This window comes from Homo sapiens, chromosome 2, assembly GCF_000001405.40.
Source record: "Homo sapiens chromosome 2, GRCh38.p14 Primary Assembly".
In the NCBI taxonomy this organism is placed as follows: domain Eukaryota; kingdom Metazoa; phylum Chordata; class Mammalia; order Primates; family Hominidae; genus Homo; species Homo sapiens.
Genome location: NC_000002.12, coordinates 225,764,508 through 225,791,684, shown reverse-complemented (window position 1 = coordinate 225,791,684; position 27,177 = coordinate 225,764,508). Strand labels below are relative to the sequence as shown.

At 37.5% G+C, this 27,177-nt stretch overlaps 2 long non-coding RNA genes across 5 annotated transcripts in view; one reads left to right on the top strand and one right to left on the bottom strand.

Moving 5' to 3' along the window:
• LOC107985992 (uncharacterized) overlaps window positions 1-21,112 on the bottom strand; it is a 118,146-nt gene extending 97,034 nt beyond the window's left edge. The window contains exon 1 of the long non-coding RNA XR_001739907.2: window positions 21,015-21,112. This is a non-coding gene — a long non-coding RNA (uncharacterized LOC107985992). The remainder of the gene's footprint in view (window positions 1-21,014) is intronic.
• LOC105373914 (uncharacterized) overlaps window positions 1-27,177 on the top strand; it is a 211,043-nt gene that overhangs the window by 99,907 nt on the left and 83,959 nt on the right. The gene's annotated exons all lie outside the window — the stretch shown is intronic.

Sequence of the window (27,177 nt, the reverse complement as noted above, 5' to 3'; positions counted from 1 at the left end):
AAAAGAGTGACCTGACTAGTGCTATGTATGTTAAAGAAATTCAATCAATAATTAATAATTTTTCCAAAAAAGAAAGAACCAGGCCCAGATGGATTCAATGGTGCATTCTACCACACACCTATAAAAGAAATAACACTAACTCTCCACAGACTCTACCAGAAGATAAAAGCAGAGGGAACACCTCCTAACTCATTCTATGAGGCCAGCATTTTCCCAACAAAACCAGATGAACACATGAGTAGAAAGGAAAACTTTAAAGAATAATATCACTCGTGGGTAAAGATGCAAAAATTCTCAACAAAATATTAGCAAACAGCATCCATCAATGTGTACAAAGAATTACATACCACAAATGAGTGGGATTTATTTCCAATACACACACTGATTGAGCATTTAGAATTTAGTCAATGTGGCCAGGTGTGGTGGCTCACACCTGTAATCCCAACATTTTGGGAAAGCCAAGACAGGCAGATCACATGAAGCCAGGAGTTCAAGACTAGCATGGCCAACATGGCAAAACCCCCTCTCTACTGAAAATACAAATATTAGCCGGATGCGGTGGCACGTGCCTGTTATCCCACCTACTCAGGAGGCTGAGACAGCATAATTGCTTGAACCTGGGAGGCAGAGGTCACAGTGAAAGGAGATTGTGCCACTGCATTCCAGCCTGGATGAAAGAGCAAGACCCGTCTCAAAAAACAAACAAACAAGCAAACAAAAAAGTCTAGTCAATGTAACAAATCACATCAGCAAGCTAAAGAAAAAGCATATGATCGTATCAATTGACACTGAAAAAGCTAAAAAAATTCAATATCCATTCATGATTAAGAAAAACCACTCAGCAAACTAAGAATGGTGAGAAACTTCCTCAACTTGACAAAAAAACACCTCATCTACAAAAAAAACTGTAGCTAATATCATATTTAATGGTGGGAAACTTTCCCATTAAGATTTTTTCCCCTGAGACCTAGAATAAGGTAATGATGTCTCTTCTCACCACTCCTATTCAGGATGGCACTGGAAGTCTCTGAAAATAAAATAAGAAAAGAAAAAGAAAAATATACACATATACACATTGGCAAGGAAGCTATAATACCAAATGTATTTGCTGGTGATATTATATACCAAAAAATTAAAAGAAAAAAGAAAAAACAACAACCCCGAAATTAATAAGCAAGTATAGCAAGATCATGGAATAAAAGGTTCACATATGCAAGTCAATAGCTTTCCTATATATGTGCATCGAACTATTAGAATTTGCAATTAAATAAAACTACCATTTACAAGAGTACCAAAACAAAGAAAAACAAAATAAGACATTAAGTTATTAGGCATAAATCTAACAAAATATTCACAAGATCTATTTGCAGAAAACTATAATACATATGAAAAAAGATTATCTGAAAAAGTAAAAATATATTAGATGTTCATGGATTAAAAGACTCAATATTGTTAGGATGTCAGTGTTTCCTAACTTGATCTATAGATTCAATGCAATCTTAATAAAAATCCAAGTGAGATATTTAATAGACTCTGATAAATTTATTCATAAATATTTAATCAAAGACAAAATAATTAACTAAGATTTTGATTGAAATTTTATTAAATACATGGATCAAGTTGTGAAGAACTGATGTCTTGACAACATTGGAGTCTTACTGTCCATGTTCATGGAACATCTCTTCACTTAATTAAATCTTCTTTGATTTCATTCATCAGAGTTTTATAGTTTTCTTCATAAATATTTTAGATTATTTTAGACTAATACCTAAGTATTACTTACTTGGTGCTAATATAATGACAATTATTTTCTCATATACCAAGAATAAAAAATTGAAATCCCAATTGTCAATTATTTTCTTAGATACCAGAAATAAATACTTGGAATTTCAGTTGTTCATTCCTGGTATCTAAGAAAATAATTGCCTTTTAAATATTAACCTTGTGTCCTGCAAGCTGGCTACGATCATTTAGATCAAGATTTTTGGTTTTGCTTTTTATTCTTTACGATTTCCTACATAGACATTCATACAACCTGTGAATGAGGACAGTTTTATTTTTTCTTTCCTAAGCTTCTGTTTACATTTTTTTGAGTCCAGGTTCTCCAGATAAATAGAATCAATAATGTATACATACATATACACATGCACACATATACTCTGTTGATTCAATAAGTGTTTTCCTATCCTTAGACTTGAATTGAAATATCTGCTCTTCTTCAGGTGGAAACTACACCATTGGCTCTCCTGGGTCTCCTAGACCACCAGCTTGTCAACTCACATTGTGGATGATTTATATACATATATATGCTCATATATGTATGTATGTATGTGTGTGTGTATATATATGTATATGTATGTGTGTGTATATAAATGTATATAAAATAAGGAATTGGCTGTCATGTTGTCTTAGTCTGTTTGTGCTGCTATAAAAATATATACAAAATACTATAGCTTAGATAGCTTATAAATGTCAGAAATTTATTTCTGAAAGTTCTACAGGCTGAGAAATCCAAGATCAAGGTGCCAGCAGATTCAGTGTCTGCTGAGGGCCCTTGTGAGTGTCAACTTGATTGGATTGGATTGAAGGATGCAATGTATAGTTCCTGGGTGTGTCTGTGAGAGTGTTGCCAAAGGAGATTAACATTTGAGTCAGTGGACTGGGACGAGCAGACCCACCCTCAAGCTGGGTGGGCACCATCTAATCAGCTGTCATCATGGCTAAAATAAAGCCGGCAGAAGAAGGTGGAAAGAGTAGACTCAGCTAAACAGTGCCATCTATGAATGAGAACTGAGGCTGTATTAGTCAGGGTTCTCTAGAGGGACAGAACTAATAGGATGTATGTGTATATGAAAGGGAGTTTATTAAGGAGAATTGACTCACACGATCACAAGGTAAAGTCCCATGAGAGGCCATCTGCAAGCTAAGGAGCAAGGAATCCAGTAGTAAATCAGTCCAAGTCCTAAAACCTCAGAAGTAGGAAAGCTAACAGTGCAGCTTTCAGTCTGTGGCCGAAGGCCTGAGAGCCCCTGGCAATACACTAGTTTAAGTCTAAGAGTCCAAAAGCCAAAGAACTTGGAGACTAATGTTCCAGGGCAGGAAGCATCCAGCGTGGGAGAAAGATGAAGCATGGGAGAAAGATGAGGCCTGGAAGGCTACCTTCTTTCAAGGAAGAAAAATCCCTGGTGATCTCCTCAAGTCCACAAATCTTGTGGAGTACGTTTTCTGTTTAAACCAATGTTGGTGTTCGTGCTTCTCTTCACAGCTCTTTCTTTTGAGAATTCTTCAAAGGAAAGACATAATTACATGCTATTTTAACTTGCTTGGATATTTTAATACCTACTAATCTCTGTTTTAGGAAAGGTGCTAAATTGAAGGAGAAGAACAGAAGGGAAAATGATATTCTGGAGTTACTATGATGAACAAAGGAGCAATCGAACGCTTCATAGTCTGTCTAAATAAAAAATTCAGTAGTCAAATCATAAAATTCTATGTTCATCCATAGAGAATCTGTAATCCATATGGAGCCTTTGCCAATTTTATTTAAAACTTCATTTAGGCCAAGTGCAGTGGCTCACACCTGCAATCCCAGCCCTTTGGGAGGCCAAGGTGGGAGGATTGCTTGAGCCCAGGAATTTGAGACCAGCCTAGGCAACACAGGGAAACCCCGTCTCTACAAATAATTTTAAAAATTAGCTGGGTGTGGTGGTTTGTATCTGTAATCGCAGCACTTTGGGAGGCTGAGGTGGGAAGATGGCCTGAGCCCATGGAGGTTGAGGCTGCAGTGAGCTGTGATGGTGCCACTGCACTCCAGTCTGGGCAACCAAGCAGGACTCTGTCTCAAATAAATACATACATACATAAATACAAATAGATGTATTTAAAGGTTTGTAATTTTTGTGGCGGTCAGGGGATGTTTGCCAGAGGCAGGAGATGAAAGTGACAGATGGGGAAAGGGAAGATAGTAACCAAAGGGTGCAAAGTTTCAGTTAGACTGAAAGAATAAGTTTTAGTGAACTTACTGCACAGCATGGTAACCACAGTTAATAATAATGCATTGTGTATTTCCAAAATGCTAGAGGAATACATTTACAATATTCCTAATCACAAAGCATGTTGATAAGGTAATGGACATATTAATTAGCTTAATTGAATCTTTCTACAATGTATACGTAGATCAAAACATCACACTATAGCCCCTTAAGTATACACAATTATTATTTGTTAATTAAAATACAATCTAAAAATTTAATTTTAAAACAACCTTTGAAAAGGAATCACATAATTATAATCTATAGTATACAAATAAATAAAACAGCAATTTTAAGGAAAAATTTTGTAACTGATTTATAAAGCAGAAAATTTAGGTGTATTTTCTTCCATAAAAGTATAAAAGAGTTCTTTTAGTTAAATAATCTTAAATATGTATAAAAAGATGTTTCACTTTAAAATGTCAATGTATTCATGTTTTCTGAGATACATCCAATTGTAAAAAAAAATATTTGTACATGTAATTGCTAACATGATAATTAGCATTATACTCCTTTTTAACCTATAAGAAATGAATTTATTTCTACTGAACTTGCATAAATTATATTATTATGGGCCATGGTGTTTTTATGGTCAAGTTTAAGGTTTCAGACCACACATATGTTTATCTGTCAAGTTTGGCTTCACCTACTCCTTTTCAGAGAGAGAGAGAGAGAAATCCTACACAAACCTGAATATTTGCATATTGTAAAATGTCTTTTATCTCAAAGTGCTAACCTGTTATATACTAATGAATAAGTATATGCCTCAGAATAGCTACTTCAAAGAAATCATTGTAAACTGTTCACAATGGAGGCATTTAGAGTGCCTTTTTTTCCAATTGACAGTCAAGGCAAAAAATCATTTTAGATTTTTGACAAACAGATAAGGAGGTGCTAAAATAGCTTCAGAAGCTAAAACAATGTATAGGGAGAGATTTAAATAACACTTTTCATACTCATTTTTTAAAGAAAACAAAATATTTTCTGGGAATCGTTAATAGTAGCAAGAGATATTTCAACAATTCTGATGAATATACTTAAGAAATGGTTAAAGCAACTGCTTATCTTATTTAAGTAGGTTCTGGGATTCAGCTTGACTACAAGGAAATTTAGTTTCTTTTGTAAGATAGTGGAGCAAAACAGGCTCCAGAAATGAGAAATTGCAGACACTGCTTTTTTTAGGTCATAGTGGATAAATTATGAACATTAAATTTAAAAATGAAGCTGGGTCCTCCAGTGCTTTTTTCCCTGCAGGTTTTTCTTTTCATTTTAGTTGGTATTTATTTCCTCTTTTGAACCCAAGAAATTGCTAACATCTTCTTGGCCTTTCATATTAAAAGTATTTTCTTGTTCATTATCCATGCACTCCCATGGTCCACCTAAACAGCGTGTGTGTTTTTGAGAAGACATGATATGCTCATTGTAATAGAGTTAGGAAAGTTTCAACCTTTAGATACAGCAAGGCATTTCTTAGTGAAACATACCTCTTGAGTATATTATCTATGTCTCATAATCAATATGAGAATACCCTTTTAAAGCTGCTTTAGGCACTTTTACCTTGTTATTTGTCTTTGAAAGCTTTTCCATATATATATATATATATATAAAATATATATATATATATATATATATATATATAAAATACTGTATTTTTATACATACATGTATGTGTGTATATATGTATGTGTGTGTATGCATATATACTATGTGTGTGCACAAACGTGCATGTGGACTATTTTGAACCTTCAGTAATTGAGAGCTCTCAGGGCAATATAAGTTATAAATTTTTAGGTACCATCTTATTATATTTTAATATTTATATTATACTTTCCTGATCAATAGGTATTACAATACCACACATGCTCTCAGCTGATAAGTACTCTACTACAATCTCATCTTGACTGTGATTACAGTATCATGAGTATATGTAAATATATATATAAACTTATCAAATTGCACATGTGTATTGTATGTGGGCTAAGGTAGATCAATTAACCCTCAATGAGCTTGAGTAAAAGTGGTTGTGGAAGGGTTTGGGTGGGTGGGTAGCAGGGAAAGAAAATTTCTGTTCTGAAGGAAATATTTGCTATTTTGCTTTGAATGGTAGTTACAAATTTATTACACAGTATATTCAAGATATGAGTAAAAAATAAAATAAAAAACAATGAAATAACAAAAGAATGTAGAGATCACTGGAAAATGGGCATACTAAAAGGGCCATAAGTATCAGTGCAGCCTGAAATTAATGAGGACAAATTGCAGGGAAGGTCATTGGAAGAAACTATGGGCAAGGCATATCATGACCACTCAGGATTTGAAGAAAACAAAAGCAAAATTTTTAATTTAAAAGTACCAGAGATATATTTACATAGAACAGGGGTATCCTATCTTCTGGCTTCCCTGGGTCACATTGGAAGAATTGTCTTGAGGCGCACATAAAATACACTACCACTAATGGTAACTGATGAACTAAAAAAAAAAAAAAAAAAATTGCAAGAATCATCATGTTTTAAGAAAGTTTATGAATTTGTGTTGGGTTGCATTTAAAGCCATCCTGGGCTGCATGCAGCCCGCAGGCTGCGGGTTGGACAAGCTTGACATAGAGGATATGTAATATGTCTTTCATGACCAGGAATTCATCCTCTGCACCAACTATCTAAAGACATTAGGTTCCTAAGCACTGGATTCAGTGGGCAATGTGTGTACAACCTAGTACTAAAGTACTTGGAGATGTCAGTTTAAAGCTCTAGATACTCTTTAAGGGTTTCAAACTGATGATTTACTAAAATGTTTAGTGTCGGCAAGCTTACAAAGTACCACTTCTACTAGATATGAGGGATAAACCACCAGAAAAATAAAATCTATGGTTTAATTTATAAATTATACTCTAAGCACCACTAAGAAAACCCAATAAGACCTCTGATTATGTGATTAGTTTTGGTCTTACACAATTCAACAGCCCAGCTTAATTAATAATTACATTAAGTTGGTCAACTGTACCAAGTATTAGGAAAGGAATTTTTTTTTGCCTATGGTCTCTTGTGCCTAATACAGGAGACTGATTTATAATGGTAATAGACCTTCCTCCTTATGGATATTGTGTTGCTTAGGGACACATGTTATGAGTGCCTTAGGAAAAAACATCGGCAATTGAAAGGCTTTTGGGTATACATATTCTGTCATTTAGCGCCCAAAAAACAGTTTATATGGGAATCACAAAGGCTGATTGGCTAAGATTTCTAAGATAAATTCTAGGGTTTAATTTATAAATTATACTCTGAGCACCACTAAGGAAACCCGATAAGACCTCTGATTATGTGATTAGTTTTTGTCTTACACAATTCAACAGCCCTGCTTAATTAATAATGACATTAAGTTGGTCAACTGTACCAAGTACTAGGAAAGGAATTTTTTTTCCTATGTTCTCTCTTTGCTTCAGTTTCCCCTTCAGGAAAAAGAAAATTATAATAAGGGTAGCAACACAGTGAGGATTATAAGTATTACATATGTAAAGAGCTTAGACAAGTACCTGGCACACAAAATACGATATATCAGAATCCATTGCTATTGTCATCATGGACATTTTATTTCACACAAGCTAAATTAGTGAAGTGACCATGACTAAGGTGTTATGCCTATGTGGCATGAGTGTCAGACATACACTGTAGTCAAGTCTGGGGAGGAGAGAGAATTTGTAGCCATGCCAAAATGTGGCCCTAGCACTGCCATCACTAATATTTACATGAGAAGCTAAAATATGTGATTTGCATATTGAGTCTCTAAATTTCCAAGTTTTGGTTCAAATTCAGAAACCCATAATGCTCAAATAAAAAATATCTTCAGCTCAGATCTGCCCTTGAGTTTGTCATCTTTCAAACTCTGCTGTAAATATTTATATTGACTTTTTTTACGTAAGTGTTTACAAAGTTGATTTTTGTGCACAATCTCTCAGGAAAAAAGTCTTCTGTTGTTATATTACATAATATTTCTTATTTGTATACAAATGTATTTTCTGTCATTCCAGAAAATTTAAAGTGTAAGAGCTGGTTATCATAATTAGAGTAGGAATGCTACATGGGTGAGCTTAGTATAACACTTATTCTGGAAGGAAGGAAGGAGGGAGGGAGGGAGGGAAGGAAGGAAGGGGAAGGGGAAACAAGGGAAGGAGGAAAGGGAGGAAGGGAGGAGTGAGAAAGGAAGGAAGGGGGAAGGGAGGAAAGGGGGGAATGGAGGAAGGGGGAAGAAAGGAAGGGGGAAGGAAGAAGGGGAAGAAAGGAAGGGGGAAGGAAGGGAGGAGGAAGGGAGGGAGGAAGAAAGGAAGGAAGAAAGGGAGGAAGGGAGCAAGGGGGAAAGGAGGAAAAGTGGAAAGGGGAAAGGAAGGAGGGAGGAAGGGAGAGAGAAAGGAAGGGAGGAGGAAAGGAAGGGGGAAAGGGAGGGAGGGAGGAAGGGACAAGGGAGGAAGGGATGAGGGAGGAAGGGAGGAAGTAAGAAATGGAGGAAGGGAGAATGGAGGAAGGGATGAGGGAGGAGGGAGGAAGGAAGGGGGGAAGGAAGAAAGTGGGGGAAGGGATGAAGGGATAAAGTGGGAAAGTGAGGAAGGAAGGGAAGAAGGGAGGGAGGAAGGAGGGAGGAAGGGAGAAAAAAGGAAGGTGAAGAGGGAGGAGGGGGAAGATAGCAAGGGAGGAAGGAAGGCAGTAATGAAGGGAAGAAGGGAGGAAGGGAGGGAGGGAGGGAGGAAGAGAGGGAGGGAGGTTGGAAGGAGGGAAGGAAAGAAGGGAGGAAGGAAGGGGAAGGGAGGTATGGAGGAAGGGAGGACGGTAGGAAGCGGGGAGGGGAGAAGGACGGAAGGAGAGAAGAAGGGCGAAGGAACGAGCGTGGGAAGGCCACAGAGGATGAAGAGCACGACGAATGAGAGAACAAACGAGCCAAAAAGGGAGAGAGAAAGGAAGGAGGAAGGGAGGGAGGAAGGGAGGAAGGGAGGATGGAGGAATTGACAAGGGAGGAAGGGAGGAGGGAGGAAGGGTAAGATAGGAAGGGAGAAACAGAGGGAGGAAGGGAGGGAGGGAGGAAGAGAGGGAGGAAGGGAGGGAGGGAGGAAGGGAGGGAGGGCAGAAGGAAGGAAGGACAGAGGGAAAAAAAGGAAGGAGGAAGGGAGGGAAGGAAGGAAGGAAGGCAGGAAGGGAAGACAGAGAAAGGGTCTCTATGATAGAGAATACTAATCTTTGGATCTCTCAAAGATACTCGGAAGCAAAAAGCCCTTATATAACAAGTTTCTCTGAAAGAGTAAGCCAAAGGAGTGTCCTGGTATTGCAGATTACTTAGCCTCAGGATCAGGGGCTGGCTGTGCCCAAGTTGGGTGTGATTCCACTTCTCTTCACAAAGGTGACCTTTGTGACAGTCTGCTTCTGCCACTCATGGGCGGGTAATCAGATTCACAAGATTACTTTTTCTTAATATTTTTTCAATATGCCCCTAACTCCAAAAAGCCTGAGGGTACAAACACAATAAAGTCATTCATTCAAATCTGTAGTCAAACTGAAAACAACCTAATATAGTGTATTTCACACTGCCTCTTCATCTTGGCAGGCGATTAATAAGACAAGTTTTGCTTTATGTCCTAAAGATGAATAAACTTGGCCTAAAACAGCATAACACTCAGAGGTGGTTCACATTAGAAACTGTTTTGCTACCTTTTCCTCAAAACTATACCTTGGCTGCCTCAAATCTGTTTCAAAAAATAGGTAAAGTAGATGTGAATGAATAAACAAAATAAACAGCCAACTGAGGGATGATTTTCAGGGATACAAGTCAATCAGCTATTTTGAAAGAGCAAAGAGAAAATACACCTCTGGAAGCCAAGAATTAAACCACATGGGAGCCTTCATGACATCTGTCCCTGAAGAACATCTGCATCTATGTGGGAACTAACCAATTAAAGGTAGAACAGGCACAATGAGTACCGCTCTTTGGTGCACTAATCTGGTTTGGATTCTTATACCCTGACTGATGAAGTCTGCACTACCTGAAGATGTGCAAATCACTTTGATGCTTTCCCCAACAGCTCGTCAGCCTCAATCCAGGTAGATTCTGCTACCAGACAAACTGATGATCAGAAACAGGATTTATTAACCCAAAGTGATGCTAGGGATATAGACAGCAATGGCTGACACTGCCTTATAACCTTACAATCTTTCCAATGTTTATCACTTACACTATCTCAAAAGCTGCATGTGTAGATATTATTTGTCTTTTGAATGGTCAGCCAGAATGTACTTTTCAGAGTCTATCTGCTGAACTGTAACAAGATTTTATTGAATACGCACATAGGTAAGTAAACAAGACTTTGTAATAAAAATGTGGTTCTCGTCTATCAAATTCCCAGAGAATATTATGCAAAGCATAAATCCTCATTCTAATCATTCTCTGTCAAGCTTTTATCTGCAGTTTTTTATTGCTCTCTATGTGTCCACTTTAATTTAATGTTTCTTATTTACTCAGAAAACTGCTAAATAGGGATTATTAGAATCACATGCAAACAAGAATAACTAGGAATTAGTGATAATTGGGAAGCTTGCCTAGCAGTGGGCATTTAGGCAAATTATAATACCCAGATATCATATTTAACTTAGATGCTAGGAGATTTTTTAAATTAAATTATTTATTCTGAGTTGTGTTTCGAAAGGTGGACTGGCCACTTACTCATTTCCAGCTAGAAAGACTGTCTCTAGGGCAAACATTCACAAATTCACACAACTTTAAGACTCATGACGGACTTCCAAAATTTCCAGGCCCATGATAGATGGATGACACAGAATTGACAATGACAAGAAACAGACTGATAGGACAAGAAGCACTTTAACAGACAACAACATAAAATCATATAGGGTGCAAAATCTTTACTGCATTCCCTGAATTAATCTAATGCCACATTCTCAATGTGCTGATCAATTCAAGGACGGCAGCCCTATTTTATTTATCTTTACACACTAACACCTAGCAAGGTATTATTGTAAGACTGGGCAGGAAAAGTTGGTAGACCTGAAACTCACATAGTATTGCAGTTTAAGGACTTATTAACTCCAGCAAACCAGGTACCCTCACTCCAATGATACATGCACTCATTCAGATACAATAAATGGCTTCACAGTTTGTGCTTCTCCTGGGCTTGTGATTAAGGTGGAGGAGAGGTCTGCGACATCAGCTGTTTCACAAAGAGAACCTTACTGTTTCCCAGTAAGGTTCCCTTGGACGATCTTGCCATTACTTGGCATAGTGGATAGAAGAGTGACCCCCAAAAACATAGGTTCACTCCTCATTCCTGAAACGGGCTAATGTTACCTTGATTTGGAAAAAGAGTCTTTGTAAGAGTAATTAAATTAAGGATCTTGAGATGAGGAGATCATTCTTGATCATGTGAGTGGTCCTTATTTAAATTAAAAGTGTCCTTATAAGAAAAAGTCAGAAGGAGATTTGAGACAGACAGAAAAGGAGATGACACAAACAGAAGGGGAGGAGGCATTGTGATCACAGAGGCAGAGATTAAAGTGATGCGACCACAAGACACAGAATGCCAGCAACCACTAGAAGCTGGAAGAGGTCAGGAATGGATCCTCTAGGGACTCCACAGGGAGCTTGGCTCTGCTAACACTCTGAATTTGGACTTCTGGCCTTTAGAACAGTGAGATAAAAAAAATTCTCTTGTTTTAAGCCACCCAGTTTGTGGAAATTTGTTGGAGTGACCACAGGAAACCAATATGCTTGGGATTGTTCTCTGGTTTCAGCTCATAATGGTGCCAATGCATTTCTGTCCTTACAGAGGAACCACTCTCTTAGAGTGCATGAATTCCACATTCCAACTCACATGTATGTAAATTGTGTTCATTTAGGTCTTTCATTTTTAAAGAGTTCCAAGTTGGCATTGTTTTTTCTTTAGGAAATGCATGTTTAGCTCATGAGAACCTTGCAAAATGCTTCAGAGATGGACACCTTGGAAAACAAAGTCCTTGCTTTCTGCTGACTCAGAGGCTACTTTGGAAATTGACATTTTGACAACCATGCCTCCTCATCCATATCCATGCAGAGAATTGTGGGCAATCATTGCATACTTTCACTTGTATAGATCTTTGCCATCATTTTTATTTGTTTGTTTTAGGCAAGAGACACATTGTGGAAGGCTCTACAGCAATATTAGGTACTCAGTTCAATAATGACTGAATGCATGACGTGATATAATAAATAAATAAATATTCATTCAAGACATGCCTTCTTTATGAAGAGTTTGCTTCTTCAACACTCCTCTGTGAAATGCAATTTGGCTTGAAGTTAAGAGAATGGTCACCAAGAAGCAGAGTTAAATCTACTGCCCACCTGCTGTGCAATCCTGCAGGCATTGAAACTCTTTGCTTCAGTTTCCCCTTCAGGACAAAGAGAATTATAATAAGGGTAGCAATACCGTGAGGATTAAAAATGCTACATATGTAAAGCGCTTAGACAAGTACCTGGCACACAAAATACCATATATCAGAATCCATTGCTATTGTCATGATGGACATTTTATTTTACACAAGATAATTTAAAAGCCTACCTCTACTGGCTCAGTAGATTAGACATGGAATTGGATGGCGTCGCATTCTCTGGGAATGGGAACCCTTTGTTTTACTATAAATACCAAGAGCTCTCATCCTCAGTCTCTGATCTCCTGGGCTTTTGCACTACTTGGAGAAATTGCAGATTTTCTGAGTAGAAACACCACTTGTTGTTCATTTTGCATCTCTCTTTACAGCATAGAGTCCTGTCCCCTGTTGCTTTGTAAAGGTAGATCTCCAAATAAATTGATTAGATTAATTTTCTTCTTAAAACTTGTTCTTAATAATTGTTCAGTGAACTTGCTGTAGCTTCTTAGACTTTTAAAAAAGACTAACCAGCATGATGAGTGGTAATGATGGCTGCTTTTGCCAGGCCTATTTTTTGGTCTGTGCACCAAAAATGTGACTTGGGGCTGGTTTGAAAGGACTTTGAAGTGACAGAATAGCTTGAAAGCCCTGATTAAAGAGGACTTGTTTACAAAACAAACTTTAAGATTATAGGAAAACTTCCTCCCTGACTTTTTTAGGTCTTTGATTCGATGAACCAGATCCTTCTTTTCTCCCATGGGGTGAAGCTGACCTAGACCACAACAGAGAGAGTCTCGCAGATAAGCTTGCCAAATCCATGCCCGATACAATTAGTGGGAAACAAACTATAATCTTTAAAGAGCAGGTGGAGGAATGATGAATGAAAGCAAAATCCGTGTTTGGCCATATCTCCTGTTTTAGTGACCATTCATATTTTTTGCAAACGTTTAATTAAAGAGAAGACTTTTTTTAATTTTTCATCTTGGAGCTATAAATATGGTACTTCCAATCATAGATATTCTGGGAGCAGGTGATGAAACTAAAATGTCAAACCAAAAAGGAAGACCTTTGACTGTCATATAATTTTAAGACTTCTTTTCTCTCTCTATCTCACTTTTGTTATTTGTGCGTGTGTTTGTTTTGAAAATCTGACTGCTTTATTTTCAATGATATTTCTCATGGAACCACATTCTTCATTCCTGAGGGTCAGTAATTCTCAAAAGCTGCTCTCAGAGACAAGTGAATGGGCTGTTTTTCTCAGCATTGTGTTTCCAGCCTCTAGTCCACAGCATGAAATATTATACACACTCAGTAAATAGTTGTTGAATAAATAGAATAAAAGCCAATAGGATCTTGTCTTCAAGTGTGACCTTTTTTTTTTTACTTCCTTTTCACGTGCTAGCCATAAAAGCATTTCGATAAAGCTGTGAATAGACATTACTATTAGCACATGTAAAATTCTTTCTGACGGTTTCTTACATTTATTTACTCCATCTCAAATCTTGCCATTAACAGATTTTCTGTTATTTTTCAGAATTTTTGAGAATTTCTCTTGACTGCTTTATTCACTGCTGTCCCTACCACTCCACTTATTCACCATTGTATTAACTCTTTCCTTCTCTTCATCACACTTAGTGTGATAGGAAATGGGACTTTTACATGTTTATTGTCTGTTTCCACCACCGAAATGCAGTTCACTAGGTCTAAGTGAGCAGGGACCTGGCCTCTCTCATTCACTGTTCTACTGCCAATATTTAACATAGTTCTGAGTTCATCATAAGAGCTTAATAAATATTTGTTATAAATACATTTTTACATTGAAAACATAAACATTTCATTCAGTAAAGTTAATATTCATTTGTTAATTTCAGAAAAAGTTTTTCAAAATAGCTTTAAGTTATATTACATCCACATGATATTTAAGGTATATAAATTATTACAGAATATGAAACAAACATTGTGATTTCATCTCAACTTACCTATTTGATTTTCTATTATGGTTTGTTTTAATAAATAAGACTTTTCTGTGTTATATGTACTATGTTCAGACTGTTAACTAAAATAAGCCACAATAATTTGCATCAGAATAGAAATATCTGAGATAAACACTTCATTACATTTGCCTTTACACTTATAAAATTCATCTAAGTAGGTGTGATTAAAAGTTTTGATGTGTAGAAAATGATCTGAGGAAAGACCAACTGCAAGAAGCAACACATAAAATCAGAAAAGGGACCAAAAATTATATTTATTCACAGCTGACTTCTTCCAGTTTTGTGCATGTCTTAGTCCATTTGGGCTGTTATAACAGAGGACTATAGATCAGACGGATTATAAACAAGAGAAAATTATTTCTCACAGTTCTAGAGCCTGGGAAATCCGAGATGAAGGTGTCAGTAGATTCAGTGTCTTTGGAAGGCTCACTTCCTGGTTCATATCTAAATGGCCATCTTCTCATTGAGGCTTCACATAGCCAAAAGGCTAAGGGCACTCTCTAGAGTCTCCTTCCTATGAACACTAAGGATACTAATCCCATTCATGACAGTGAAGTCAAAATAACCTAATCAACTACCAAAGGTCCCACCTCCAAATATCATCATATTGGGGGATTAAGATTTTAACATTTAGATTTTGGGAGTACACAAAATTCAATCTATATCATTCCATCCCTGTCCTCTCCAAATTTATGTCTTTCTAACATGGAAAATATGTTAATTACATCCCAACAGTTGCAGCATTTGTTCCAGCATCAACTATAAAGAAAAAACCCAAAGTGTAATCTAAATATCATCTAAATATCATCTACATCAGATATGGGTGAGACTCAAAGTATGATTTAGCTTGAGGCAAATTCCTCTTCAGCTGTGAACTTGTGAAACTAAACAAGTTATGTGCATCCAAAATATAATATTGGGACAGGTGTAGTTTAAAGATATCCTTTCAAAATGGAAAAACAGGAAAGAAGAAAGAAGTAATGGATCCCAAGTAAGTCCAAACGACAAGCAGACTCCATGAGATTGAAGGCTTAAAAATAATCCTTTGTGACTTGATATGTTCTTCTCCAAGCAAGTCCAAATGACAAGGCAAACTCCTTGAGATCTAAGGCTTAAAAATAATCCTTTGTGCCTTGATATGTTCTTCTTCAGGTCCACTGGGCTGAAGGTCCCACCATTAAGACACACTAGGGTGGCAGTCCTGTTCCTGCAGCTTTGTTGGCTAGAGTTGGGCATTCATAGCTTTGAGTAGCCCTGCCTTCATTGGTTTTGGGCAGAAGTCATCTGGTCTGTTGAAAGGAAGGCAATGGTCCCTCCATTTGAAACTGAGGAGGTAGCCCTGATGATCTCTAAGTTACTTTTGGGCTCATTCATCACTTGTCTTAAGGAATAGCATCTGGTTTCTGTTGAGATTAATAATTAGGCCCATGGTTCACCTTCATACTTGTCTCCATATCAATGGGTTAATTGGCCACATCCTTAATGTTCTTTTCTGGACACACTTTCTCATGTTTTGCAATATGAATTGGTTAAAAACTTCCAAAATTTTAAAGTTCCAATTCCTTTCTGCTTAGCAATTCTGCCTTTAAGTTAATTCTCTTCTCTCTCATCTTACCATAAGCAGTTAGGAAGAGCTAAGCTGCACCTTGAACACTTTGCTTAGAAATCACTTCAGCTAAATATCTAATTTTACCACTCACAAATTGTAACTTTCACAAAACACTAGAACATGAACACAATTCAACCAACTTCTCTGCCACTTTATAAAAAGAATCTCCATTCTTCCACTTTCTAATAATGCTTTTTTTCAATTAAGAACTCATCAGAATGACTGTCCCTATGTGTACCAACACTCTGTTCATCACTATTATTATGGTTTGAGTCTGGTTTGTCCCCTCTGAAACTCATGTTGAAATTTTAACCCCAGTTCAGCAATGTTGACAGATAAGACCTTTAACAGATGATTGGGTCATGAGGGCAGGAGTAATAGATTAATGGGTTACCACAGGAGTGGGTTAGTTTTCAAGAGAGTAAGTCTGTTACAAAAGCCAGTCTGGCTTTCAGTGCACCCCTCTTGCCCCATGATGCCTTCCGCCATGTTATGATGCAGCACATGATCCTGACAGGAAGCCGACCAGATGTGGCTGCCCAATCTGGACTTCCCAGCCTCCAGAACTGTGAGAAATGAACCTCTTTTCTTTATAAATCACTGAGTCTCAGGTATTATGTTATAGGAACAGGACTAAGGCAATTACTTAAGTATTCTTTAAGAAGATTCAGGCCTTCTTCACAACTCTACTTTTATCTCTGAGCCTTCGCCAGAATTTCCTCTAAAGGTCTATTCACAGCAATATAGGGTTTCTCTATTATGCACTTCCAAACTCTTCCAGCCTCTACCCATCAGCCAGTTTCAAAGCTATTTTCACATTTTTACATATTTGTTACAGAAGCACAATCACTTCTCTGTACCAATTTCTATCTTAGACTGTTTGGGCAGCTATAATAAAATGCTACAGGTTAGGTGGATACTTTGCATGTGATAATGTAAATTCTGGTAGTCCAGCGGGGAATGTTATAAATGAAATGTTAACATCCCCCTAAAATTCGTATATTGGAATTCTAACCCCTTAGTACTTGATGATATTAAGAAGTGGGGCTTTTGGTAGGTAATGAGGACATGAGGGCTCCACCCTCATGAATGAGATTAGTGGCCTTATAAAAAAGACTTCTGAAAGCTCCCTTGGTTCTTCTACCATATAGGGACTCAGCCAAAGATGGCTGTGAACCAAGATGTGGGCCCTCACCACACACCGAATCTGCTGGTGCTTGATCTTGGACTTCCCAGCCTCAAGAACTGTGAGAACTAAATTTCTGTTGTTTATAAGTCCCCCAATCTCTAGCATTCTCTTACAGCAGCCCAAATGGGCTAAGACAGTGTATTTTGATATATTAAAATAGACTATTAGACAATAAAACTATAAATAATATGGTTTTATTGAAATGTAATGAAACTTCCCTAAGGCATTCAGCTTTAAAATTTTGTCATTTTAAATTTAACTTAAATCGAAAAAAAAATGTTCAAGAATCTTGAGACAGGATATTTAAAGAATTTACAGAAAAAAAAATTAAAGCTTTCTTAGTATAAGCTGTGATGGTAGTGAAAAACTTATTTTTCCTAACATACATTTCTGCATTTTTTTCTACCGGTTTTCTTATCCCAAATTATCATCACTCTGGCTACACCGTTCATGTTATTTTTTTCCTAAGTAAACATGTAATAGTCACATTGAATATAATACAAATTTTATAAAACATTTTTTAATGTTTTGAGTTGAGAAAATGTTTAATAAATGTTTATGATCTTTTTTATGATTGAAGATCATAAATCAGTGATATCCAATAATCATTATTGCTTTCTGCAATAATAAAAGTGTTTTATTTTTATTTGCCCAATATGGTAGCCACTAGCCACATGTGGCTATTGCAAACTTGAAATGTGGCTAGTGTACCTAAAGAAATTAATTTTTAATTTCATTTAATATTATTAATTTAAATTTAAATAGATACCCATGGCTAGTAGCTACCATGTTGGGCAGCACAGATATAGGTTATGGATTTGAAATATTTTTCCTGCTTTCACTTCCCAAACTCACAAAAGACCAATTTTAGAAGGGCCAATACAGTGTTAGTTCTCAATATTTCTGGAGTTCATCTGGCATAAGGACTTAAAGATTACCATTAAATTACAAACAAAATTATGTTTCTCACTTAAAGTTGCCCAGCCTCTGTCTTTTCTTTTTTCACGTGAAGGTTTTGTCTGGGTTTAAAAATCAGAGGGTCAAAGTAAGGCTGATTTTGCAGGATTCCATCTGGGAGTGGAAATAATGATGGGTGAGTGCCAGATATCTCAAGAAGGAGCCAGCACTCATGAGATCCACAGCCAAATTTACCAGATAAGGAAGAAGACAGAATGACAGAGAAAGAGAACCAGACAGAATAATATTAATAAAACTGTTTTGCTTAGCTAGGTCTGAAAAAAATGGTTTTACTTATATCAAACTGGGTAGGAATCTCACCATATGAAAAAAAAAAAGATATTTTTGGCGTTTGGGAGCAGGGGTTTTCATATAAGATAAGAATTTTAGTTTTTTGCCGGGTGCAGTATCTCATGCCTGTAATCCTAGCACTTTGGGAGGCCAAGGGAGGCAGATTGCCTGAGCTCAGGAGTTCAAGACCAGCCTGGGCAATACTGTGTAACTCTGTCTCTACTAAAATACAAAAAATTAGCTGGGTGTGATGGCGTGTGTCTGTAGTCCCAGCTACTCGGGAGGCTGAAGCAGCAGAATTGCTTGAACTCTGAACCTGGGAGGCAGAGGTTGCAGTGAGCTGGGATCGTGCTGCTGCACTGCAGCCCAGGCGACAGAGTGAGACTCCGTCTCAAAAAAAAAAAAAAAAGGAATTTTAGTATTTTTTAAATATGGAAAAAGTTGTTCTTTTACTTCCAGCAAACACACCTATTATTTTTGCTTCCTGTAAGTCATAAGGTTTGGAATAGAACACATTATATTCCAAATTGAACTACATGAATTCATAATTGCCTATTTTCTTAGATATCATTACCCACTTACCACACACTTGAATATGAAACAGAAATTAAATTTGTGGATTTCCTGTAACTGTAAAAATTGTACATTTCTAAAAGGGTTCAACTCACCACAGAAATTATCAACCCCTTTGAGCTATTGGGCCCCATTAATCTCTGCCATGTTTTGCAGATATATATCTGTCAGCTATGCTCAAAAGTTTGCTGTGCAACAAACACATGTATTTTACAAGAGAAAAACACCTTTGGAAACCACTTTTATAAAGAACACCTTTTTCTTCAGGCTCATTTTTGGAGTTTAGAACTCCAAGTAATGGAAATGGATCTGTCTGCTATTGTGTAATATAACAAATCCATAGGGGAAAATAGAATGAAATCAGAACCACAGAAAACCAGCTTCCTGCGCTCTATCACCCTCCAAAGGAAACAAGGTGATATATAATGCATGTAATAGAGTCTTGTGGGCCAAAGACAAATAGCACAGGCTGTACATTCCATTTTCACTCGAAAAGTTATATTAGAAATACCACCAAATGAGCAAACTTTTTAAATAACTGAAACAGAAACCAAGAAACAGTAGGTATATTTGAAGACAGAGATCTCTAGTAGATGCGCTAATGAAATGTTCATTGAAAGGGATTATAGAAAAGTTCCTCAAAAGTCAGTGACCAGCTAATTTATCATCCAAACTGAGGCACATTGGAAAGTGAAAGTTGGTGCTATTAATAATTAAGTGACTCTTCCAGACCAACCAAGACATGTGGCCATCCTAATATGAGTCTCTCTTACTTAGGCCATTATTCATCCTTCCTGGTGCCCCTCCATTACCCAAACACCACCATTTTTTTAAGACACTGTTTAATTCCTACTGTCACAGTAGTACTTTCACAAAGTCTTCAGCCCTCTTGGATATCTTCCTTGTTTATGCTTCTGCAACTCTTCTAATCAGTTCTACGCATTTATATTACATTTATCATTCACTTGTATGTTAGTTCTATTGCTATAATTAAACTGGAAGTTCCTGAAACCAAGCATTTTGCTCTATTTTTCAAATCTCTCTAAAGCCCAAAACAGTCCCCTGGAAAGAGTTACTTAACAAATAGTCTTCTTCTTATTAGTTTCCTATATTTTCAAAGCCCTACTCAGGTCTTTCTTCTCCTATGAGGCCTTCTCAAACCAAAGCAGAGATAGTAAGCACTCCTCTTCTTATGGACTGTGGATATTGCTGGCTAAAGCATAGCAATGCTTCATATATCAATACTGATTGCCTTACACAATGTGATATCTTTCCAGCTGGATGACAAGGGCATTGAGGGTAAGCATTATGTCTTATCCTTTTCCCCATCTCCAGTGTCTCTCACTGCACTTACATCTAGTGATGCTAGGAAACATCAAATATTGAACTGTAAACATCACAGTGACATACAGGTCATACGAAGCAGCGTCTAGCATACATACAGGTCATATGTAGCAGCATCTAGCAAGGCCAACTTAAGTAAAAATGGCCCAGATAACATAGAACCAACCTCGTCTTGAGTCATACATATAGCTCCTGCAGTAAAGGGGAGACGCTCTGGTCTCCCAAACACACTGGGACAAGCATAAAATAGGGTTGAAAAGGATAAGAAAAGATTGAAAGTTGTCCTGGCTAAAAATACAATTCTTTGTTATTATCTCCTGATCTTGCTTCAGTACAGGGCTAAAAGAATCCAGCCAGCTGCCCAGTCTGACCCTGAAGATGGACTCTGGGTGACCCAGAGTCACCAAAGCTCAAGCATGGATCAGGCGAGTGCAGTAAAAGGTGGTCCTAAATGGTGATCAAGGTGGAACTCCAGAGAGACTAGGAGAAGGGCAACTGTATGGCAGAAACCACATGAGAAAAGCTGGTTCTGGTGCCCCAAAGAAGGAAACTGTATTATTCATTTTCACACTGTTGATAAAGACATACTTGAGACTGGGCAGTTTACAAAAGAAAGAGGTTTATCAGACTTACAGTTACTCGTGGCTGGAGAGGCTTCACAACCATGGTGGAAGGTAAAAGGTAAGGAGGAGCAAGTCACATCTTATGTGCATGGCAGCAGGCAAAAGGAGAGCCTGTGCAGGGAAACTCCCTTTCTTAAAACCATCAGATCCCATGAGACCTATTCACTATCACAAGAATAGCATGGGAAAGACTTGCCTCTGTGATTCAATTATCTCCCACCAAGTCCCTCCCACAACACATGGTAATTATGGGAGCTACAAGAAGAGATTTGGGTGCAGACACAGAGCCAAACCATATCAGAGACTGTTGGAGTTAGGCTAGTATAAGGACCAAAAATCAAGGCAGGACACCGGACCACTGAGAGAACACTGTAGGAGAGGGGAGAGAGTGAACAAAGCACCATCAATGCCAGAACAGACTCATTCATCGCTTACCAGATAATGAGGGGAATCAGGATGTGATTTGAGCCCTGGCTGCAGTGCAGCAGCAGCAGCTGGGGCTCTTTTGAACCTATGATGATGGATGTAGGAACTGCGATGGCCTGGACACAGAGATGAAACCTGTTAATATCCCCAGCTGAGAAATACTAAGAGATAACATGAAACAGGAATGGAGAAGTCCATGGATAGAAGACGAGAAGACAGTAGGCTTTTCCTATGGGCATTCTTAAGGATATTAAGGACAGAAGAAAGGATAAAGTAGTAAGGTAAATGTTGGAAAAGCTGGGTTAAACAAAATTAACAGTTTTCTTTTACTAAATAGTCCCATGTGCACTATCTCAAGACATGGCTCTCTTATGCAGTAAAACACTAAAACATTATTTCTAAACAAGAGAATAGAACAGAGCCTGTATAGAAATGTTGCCTCAGGCACACTGGACCTGTGGAAGTGATAGAAAGTGGAGGGATGGTATACATGGAGCAAGTCCCTGGTTCCCTGGAGCAGTATTGCTCATCGTCTGCATTGCCTCCCAACACTTACTTGCTAGGAAAGTATTTGGGGGAATACTTTTAAAAATTAAAAAATATACAGACGTAGATTTCATAAAAATGTGTATGTGTGTATATTTACACACATACACACACATATGTGTATATATAGACACACATACATATATATGCATGTGTGTGTGCATGTGTGTAAGCACTGATTGTTTATTTGCCTTACCAGTCTCCCAATCAATTACTCAGTTTGTAGCACAGATAATAGTTGGCTTGTAAAAAAAGAAAGTGTGAAAACATCTGCCAGTAATTGTATACTGCATGAGTTTTCTATTCATCTCAGTAGTTTTTTCTTATAGTCCTTTTACTTTGTTTTTTGCTTCTTTGCTGCTAGAAAAAGTAGTCTAAGGTAGGCATTCCTGCAAGAAAACAGAAGGAATGAAATGAGTAATGCTAAATGATGAAGCAAGTTATACCAAGTTCTCCCAGCAAATAGTCACATGATGGGGAATGGTCTCATGTAGGCTCCCTTTGAAGTGACTCTGTGGTTACCACCCAACAAATTTCTTATATAAGTCATGTGAGAGGCTCTGCAGCACTGTACAAGGAGGCAGTGGCTTAAGGAGTATGGATCTGACTGAACCCAGCTCTGTCACTTAAGACTTTGTGCTCATGGATTTGGCATCATGGAGAGACACCTGGATATCTCCCTATGACCAAGGCATTTATTCTCCCAGCAGCTGCTAAGTGTGGGCTTCTGTGGGCTCTCACCTGAGAACACCCTGGAAATCGCCCTCCTCCAGAGGGAGCTCCTTCGCCCTGAGTTATGTCCCCTTCCTGGACCCTTTCATATCCAGTGACTGGTCAAAGCACAGGTGCAAAGGCCTAGACCTCTGTCCCCAAGGGAGAGAACTCTGAAGGCCATCCCAGCTCAAGGATCCCTGTGGCATCAGCTGAGTTCTACTGCCTCTGCGTCACAGCTAACATCTCTGCTCAAACCACCTACCCAACTCCCCCACAGGAGTTGTTGCTAAGAGTGTGTTCTAATAAATTTTCTGCACATGAACCTCAGTCTCAGAGTTAGTTTTCAAGAGAACTTGGTCCACAACAGCCGGTTCACTGACCTATCCAAGCCTCAGGACCCTCATCTGTAACATAATAGAAGTATTAATAGCTCATTGAGCTATTAATTGCATGGAGTGGTTACCATGTGTTGGGCTCTGTTCTAAGCATTTTTTAGGGATTATTTTAATTGGTCAACCACCTTATAATATACTCACATAAATCATTTAGTTGTCCCAAGGTCCAAAACCTAGTAAGTGGGGTTCCTGGGATTAATCTTATGACCCTGATTCCCTCACAGGACAATGGTTAAGATTGGAGAAGCATGTATATCCTATATCTGTCACAGTGCCTGAATATAGTATGTAATCAATAAATCTTCATTTTCTTCAATCTGCGTATACATCTAAGTGATGCAGGGTCACGAAGATGGCAGGAGATGACAGGATGCCATGATATGCATGGAAAGTCTGATCTCCAACTATAAGTGACCAGTGCTAATTTTCCAATGGTGGCACATGACCCTGTGGTAGGAACGGAAGTTTTAGAGTCAGATTTTTCACATTTGGAGCCTGGATCCTCTCTGTCTGCCACTTCGCTCTTCTGAACCTCAGTTTTCTCATCTATTAAAAAGGAAGTAATAATATTATCTACCTTGTAAGGTTGCTGTGAGGATCAAATTAATTATTACAGTGTTTAACATATTATCCGATGCATAGTAAAATTGAATAAATGTTAGTTGTTATTATAATTGTTATATTAGTTATTTATTATTGTAGTATTATAGTACTTTTTACTAAGGATTAGGCTTGTTTTCACACAACAGTAAAAAACTGAAATAATTAGTTTAAGTAAGATGGAACTTAATTTCTCTTTCTTGTAAAACAAGTCCAGTGGTGGGTAATCCTTTACTGCCTTGGCATAGCAGGTCCATGAAGGCACTAGGTACCTTTCAACACAGGGAACTACTAATCTTACTATTACCTCATGGTCCAAGATAGCTGTTAGTGCTCCAGCTATCACATTTGTATTCCAAGCTATATGCTAGAGAAAGAAGGAAAAAAAGATTATCCTTCCTTTGAAAAGTGTCCCACCAAAAATATTACTCCTAAATTTTATGGTCATTTACTAGCCACATGCCACATCTAGTATGTATAGGAAGCTGTGATATGTGGACTCTTATTATTGGCAGTGATGTGTTGGCTGAAATCAGGATTCTGTGACAGAGAAAAATGAAATAGATCTTAGAATTGCATCCAGCAGTCTCCACTGCAGGGGATGAGCTCTCGAGGCATCCAGTTAATAAGTTGTAACATTTTTCTGGTTGCCTTTAGGGAAAGAGACAAGTTGTTATTTTAGGTAATGCAAATATCCAATGTCAGTTAACTTAAAAACTGAGACTTTTAATTCTAAACCTAAACATTTTCATTTATTTCTGTCATAGTTATATTACTGACAATTCTAATTTATACAGCAAGTTTGCTACAGAAAATGTTATAAAATCATAAAGTAATCACACTAGTTCTTGCAGGTGTCTCATAAATAACACATTTAAAATATTAATTAAAGATGTCCAAAGCTTAAGATATTTATGTTTGCTATACAAATGCATTGTCATGAAGTTCACTGGAAACTAATTGTACGGAAAATAAATAAATAGGACCTTTGAATATTTGGGACTAGCCCTTTGACACCTAATATTAAGAGACAAGGAGCGAGAAATTGCCAGCAATATTTTCATTATGTACAATTAATAAGAATTAATAGCCTTGAAATTATTTGAGAAATTTACAATTTGAAAAAATTCTACTCTGTTAATTCAACTTACTTTCTTCACAAATACACATAAAATGTCAAAACAGCAAAGATGTTAACTAATAAAAAATGTGCAGAGGCAATCAAATACAGCTTATTTATAACAAGGAAGAAATCACATGAAAAGGAGCATGTCACTGTAACGGGAGGAACTGAATACTTTCTCCCATTCTAAGAATGTATTAGAAAGAAACCACCCACTGTTTTTCCACAGTTTTTTTAATCTGACTTCACCATGAAGCTAGCCAGTCAAAATATAAAGTTACGGGAACGTGATTTTCAGCTATACCACAAACCTGGAGAAACAAATGTTATTCTGAATCTATTATGTCATCATAGACAAGGATTACAAAACAGGAAACAGCCAAATGGCTGGTCGATCATTGACAAGGCTTTATTATTTACAAGGATGTAGTTTACTAAACGCATATTCTGCCCAGTGTCCAAATGTGTTCTGCATTGCTTCATTGGAACCCAAAGAAAATAGCTGGAGTAAAGAAATCATTCTGAACCACAGTTGCAGGCTTTTCAAATTAAAAAAATAAAAATTGCAAAGAACAAATATGAGTGTTTGAATTTCTGAGAAACAGTAGGCCTTGACTGACTCTACAGTAAAATGAAAACTACACACAGCTGATCGTCTTAACTTTGGATTAAGAGGCTCCCAAAATTAGACACAATGTAGATCACCTGATTGCTTTACATTTTCTTGTCATTGAGTTGAAAAGATTGGTTGGTGATTAGTCAGCAGCACCTGCCTTGGCCTAGTGGGTAATCAGCTGAAGAAAAGGTGATTTGTTTATATAATATTGTAAAGTATGCACAGCTTTTATTTCTTTTAACTTCAGTTAAAATGTAAGGCATGGGAAAAACATAATGTTCTAGGAACTCTTCCAACTGAAAAAAAAATTCCAAACCAAAGTTGCAAATATTATTTTTTATTCTGGCTCTTCTCTCTCTCTCTCTCTCACACACACACAAGCACATATGTGCACAGATACACACAGAGTACAGCGTAAAATTGAATATAAAGATCACAGTCTTTAGAATATTTGGGATGAAAAATAAAGCCTGAGGTTAAAGTTTCCGTGATTTTTAGACGTTACCTAGTGTGTTAACCCCTTTGGGCTTCTATAACAAAAATACAATAGACTGGATAGCTTTATCAACAAACATCTATTTCTCTAAGTTCTAGAGGCTGAGAAGTGCAAGATCAAGGTACCAGCAGATTCAGTGTCTGGCAAGAGCCCATTTCCTGATTCATAAATGTTCCTTCCTGCTATGTCTTCACATGGAAGAAGGGGTGAGGGAGTTCTTAGGGTTCTCTTTCCCCTCAAGACTTAACCACCTCCCAAAGATTCCACTTCCAAATACTATAACATTGGGAACTAGGTTTCAACATAAATTTGGGGGCATACAAACATTCAGTCAATAGCACCTAAACTCCCTGACTCTTAGCTGCTTCAATTGAGAAATTAGGATAACATCTGTATTAGTCAAGGTTCTTCAGAGATACAGAATCAATAATATAGGTATAGATATGTAGCTATAGATATATGGAGAGATTCATCGTAGGAATTGGCTCACACGATTATGGAAGCTGAGAAATTCCATATTATGCAAGCTGAAAGCCAAGAATGCCCTTGGTGAAATTCAGTCTGAGTTCAGAGCCCTAAGAACAAGGGGAACCAATAGTGTAACTCCCAGACCAAGGAGGAAGGCCTGAGAACCCAGTAAGAAGGGGAGTACTAGTGTAAGTCCCAGAGCTTGAAGGCCTGAGAACCAGGACCTCTGATGTCTGGGACCAAGAGGAGATGGACACTCTATCTCAAGAAGAGAGGAATTTACCCTCCTTCTGCCTTCTTATTCTTTTCAGGTCCTCAATAAATTAGATGATGCCTCACATTGGTGAGGACAGGCTCACTTCTTCCATAAATACCCTCATAGTCACACATAGAAACAGTGTTTTACCAGCTACCTGGGCATCCCTTAGTCCAGTCAAGCTGACACAGAAAATTAAACATCACAACACTTATTTTGAAGTCATGTCAGAAAATGAATAACATGAGCTTTGCAGTCAAAAAGGCCCTAGTTAAATCTTCCTCCTAATCTCTCTGAGCCTAGTGAGTCACTAGCACACAGGGTGCTATCCATCACCTTTCTTATTTGGTGTATTGCTGCAACTTTTACATTTCTGAGGCCAAATCAGTATCACAGATCCCACAAAAGAACATTTTTGTTGAAACCCAGCATTACCAAATGATCAACACCCCACAATCATGACATTTTCTCAGTCCCGTTAGTTACAGAGCTTTCCACCTGTTTGCGTCTACCAAGTATTTTGATCGTCATCT